The sequence below is a fragment of the Homo sapiens genome, chromosome 3 (genome assembly GCF_000001405.40).
Source record: "Homo sapiens chromosome 3, GRCh38.p14 Primary Assembly".
Classification (NCBI taxonomy): domain Eukaryota; kingdom Metazoa; phylum Chordata; class Mammalia; order Primates; family Hominidae; genus Homo; species Homo sapiens.
The window spans coordinates 69,144,114-69,148,058 of NC_000003.12; the positions used below are offsets into that span (position 1 = coordinate 69,144,114).

The window sequence follows — 3,945 nt, forward strand, 5'->3', positions numbered from 1 at the left end:
GAGTATATATACAGAGATCAATAGCAAAAGCCAAAGGCAAAGTGCAAGTTTATTCACTGTTAGGTGAGACCACTGCACCCTATGGCAAATCCTCAGACCTGGCTCAGGCTCAAGGACAAAGTGAGTCCTTCTTCTTTCTCTCATAGAATCTACATCATGGAACATGAGCATCTGGGATCTGTCTGTTGGCTAGGGGTGGAGGAAAGAGAAGTGGGGAAGGAGAGATGGGCAAGGGAAGAGAACAGTCAAAGGAGAGGGAAAGAATGAGCAGGCAGGGCAGGCCCTAAAAGAGCCCTTGAATTAGCTTACTGATTTTACCACATCTCCTTACAAATAATAGTACACTTCTTGAGAGTTTACTATGCAGCAGGCACAAGGCACAATGCTAGGCTCGATGTCATCATCTTACATGGTAATTCCAAAACCCCTCTGAGGAAGTTTATCAGTTAAAAATTGTATGGGTGGCATAAGAATCAGAATCCCCCTGGGAAATCGGTGTTACCTTCAAGGCAGAGGTGGGAGCAGGGATAAGGGTAACTGTCTAGATGACATAGGGGTTGGGGCATGGAGAGGTTCTTATCCCTCTAGACCTTAGGGCAGGAGGCAGGAGGTCTGTGGAACCCAGGGAAAGAGATGCAGCTATAGCAGAGGGCCATCTGGCCAGAGGTGTGGCTTTGGGTAGAGGAATACAGCTACTGCCCCATAGCTGAGAAGGCGGGAGCTAGAGGGATCTATTCTCCAACCTCTCTCTCTCTCTCTCCTGTTTCTGGCTAGTTCCTCCCATTGACCAAATCCCTTTGGAAATCAGAGGGCAATGGCCCTTTGATGTGGTTCAAGGCAGCTTCCCCTTGCAATGTAGCACAAGGGCACAGGCAGAACTGGATCTGGAGGGGCAAGCAGAATATCCAGCACAGGCAGGTGGCAGAAAACCCAAACATCAGTGACTTAACCATACAGGTTTCTATTGAAAAGAGAAGTTACAGCTGCTCAGCAGGGAAGTCGTTAGCAACCCAGCCTCCTGCAAGCTCTCCGCTCATGCTGGAAAGACCTCCTGCAGCTGTGGGTACCACACTCACACTCCAGGCAGAAAAAAGGAGGAGGGGCAAAGAGCAAAAGCCACATTCTAACTGAGTCTATCAGGAAAACAATTAGTGTCCCCAGGACATTTTTACTTATATCTCATCGGCCAGACCCAGGTCATGGGTTCTTTTCTGGCTGCAAAGGGAGCCTGGGGAGGGAAGTATTTTTAACTGAGCTAGGGTCACCAGATAAAATACATAATACCCAGTTAAATTTGAATTTCAAATAAATAATGACTCTTTAGTAAATGGGACACACTTTTACTGAAAAATTATTCATAGTTTATTTAAAATAACATTTAACTGGAAAGCCTATATTTTTATTTCTAAATCTGGCAACCCTAACCTGGGCACATTGCCACCCAAACAAAATTGAGGGTTTTACTATGGAAGAAGGATGGTACAAATATTGAGTATGGAATGAGCTGCAGCTGCCACAGATGAGTACTATTATTCCCATTTTACAGTTTCAGAAGCAAAGGCTTAGAGAAAGGGAGGAATTTAACCAGGTTATATAGCTAATAAGTGCTGAAGCTGGAATTAGGTTAAACCTAGTGCTTTTTAGCATTTATATTATCAGCCTCTGTGACTTAAGAGGCTTCAGAAAAGCAAAAGAGAGGTCAAGAGCTCTCTAACACAGTAACTGCCCCACCAGTGAAATATGGCCTAATAGAGGCCAGATTGTCACCATGGAAGTCAGATTGTTGACAATCAGATTAGCAACTACAGCTCTTAGAGCAGTGGCTCTCCATTGAGGAGAGGAAAGTTTGCCCCCCACCCTCACCCCACAGAGGGGCACTTGGCAATTGCTAGGGACATTTTCAGTTGTCACAACTTGGGGGAGTGCTATTGGCATCTAAAAGTTGAGGCCATGGATGGTGCTAAATATTCTATAATGCACAAGACACTCCCTCACAGCAAAGAAGCATCTGATCCAAAATGCCGAGATTCTAAAGGAAATAATGAGTAGAAAGTGTAGAAGAGAATCCCTAGTACATATCCCCCAAATACAAAGCAGCCTTGGGCAAAGACTCATACGTGAGAAGATTTCCCCTAACATCTATATCTTTTTGAAAAAAATTACAATCATTTTATTTAAAACTGTGCCAATAAAAATGCAGGTGATGCATTCTTCTCATTTTTGCAATATGAGGGAACAAACAAGTTTACCAAGTTGCCCACATTACTTTAACATCTTCTTTATTATTGCACATCTTACTGTAATGTATTTATTCCTATAGTTCCCACTTGTTTGTAAGCTTCTCAGAGGCGAGGAACAATGTCCTCAATTTGTTTCACTGGTACAATGCCTAGTATATGGTATGCACATATATTTTTAAGAAAAAATTAATTTGGTACCTGTACTATAAACCTGAAATTAGTGAAATTAGTTCTTAATCTTTTAAAAATAATATTAAAAACCAAAAATTCTCTTTTTCTTGGATGTAATCCTGAGATCAATTTGGCTGTTTATTGAAACAGTAAGCAGTTTGCATAATACCTGTTTGCAGACAGGCCTAGTTGCTTATTTCCCTAACATCTGTATCTGAGAGTACAACTGATCACATGCTATTTTCTTGCTTAGATTTGGAAATTTAAATTTTCCTACAGCATAGGAACAAAAATAAATATGTCAGGAAAAAATATCCTACAGCCAGAGAGACCAGGGCCCTTGCAAGGGACTTTAGAGTTCAAAATTATGAGAACAGTTATGACTGCCATTATAGAACTATTTGTTTAAAACAAATAGCGGTATGTGCCCAAGGAATTTAACATCATTTACAGTCATGCTATTATTAACGACAGGGATATATTCTGAGAAATATGTCCTTAAGAGATTTCATTGTGTGAACATCATAGAGTGCCCTTATGCGCTCTATGATGTTTTTAGATGGTGTATACTTAGGCTATAAGGTAGAGCCTATTGCTCCTAGGCTGCAAACCTGCATAGCATCTGTCTGTCTTAAACACTGTAGGCAACTGCAACACAATGGTAAGCATTTGTGTATCTAAACATAGAACTTGCACAGTAAAAATGCAGTATTATAATCTTATGAGAACCACCATCCATATATGGTCCATCATTGACTGAAACATTATTATGCAGCCCATGACTATACTTCTTTACTAAAGCCAATCATAAGTAAAAGTAAAGGCTGGGCATGGTGGCTTGCACCTGTCATCCAAGCACATCAGGAGACCAACACAGGAGGATTGCTTGAGTCCAGGAGTGCAAGGCTACAGTGAGCTATAATCATGCTGCTGCACTCTAGCCTGGGTGACAGAGCAAGACCCTGTCTCTAAAAAAGTAAAAATAAATTTTTAAAAGTAGAGGTATTCCTGACCATCTCTGGGGATATGAAAAAAAGAAAAATAAATTAAAAAGTAGAATATGATGCTTAAAATCATATTTGTAAAGCCAAACAGAGATTCTGTATAGATTATTTTGTGTGTGTGTGTGTGTGTGTGTGTTTTAGACAGGATATCACTTTGTCACCCAGTCTGGAGTGCAGTGGTGTGATCATGTCTCACTGCAGCCTCATCCACATCGTCCACATCCTCCTACCTCAACCTTCCAAGTAGCTTAGACTACAGGTGCACACCACTATGCCCAGATATTTTTTACATTTTTTTGTAGAGATGGGATTTCACCATGTTGCCCAGACTGGTCTCAAACTACTGGGCTCATGCCATCCTCCTGCCTCAACCTCCCAAAGTGCAGGGATTACAGGCATGAGCCACCGCACTTGGCCTATTTAGATTCTTTTGGATGAACTGCACTACTATTGTCTTCTCACTATATTGGATACAAATGTAGAAGGCCAGCATGCACACACATTTAATCTTCCCAGATTGGCTTCATTTT

General features: G+C 41.4%; 1 annotated feature.

Moving 5' to 3' along the window:
• Positions 590-1,247: an enhancer, noted in NCBI's record as "OCT4-NANOG hESC enhancer chr3:69193854-69194511 (GRCh37/hg19 assembly coordinates)". NCBI's record gives its function as "activates a minimal SCP1, AML or CMV promoter by ChIP-STARR-seq in naive H9 embryonic stem cells {active_cell/tissue: H9 hESC(naive)}" and the evidence as "EXISTENCE:reporter gene assay evidence [ECO:0000049][PMID:30033119]".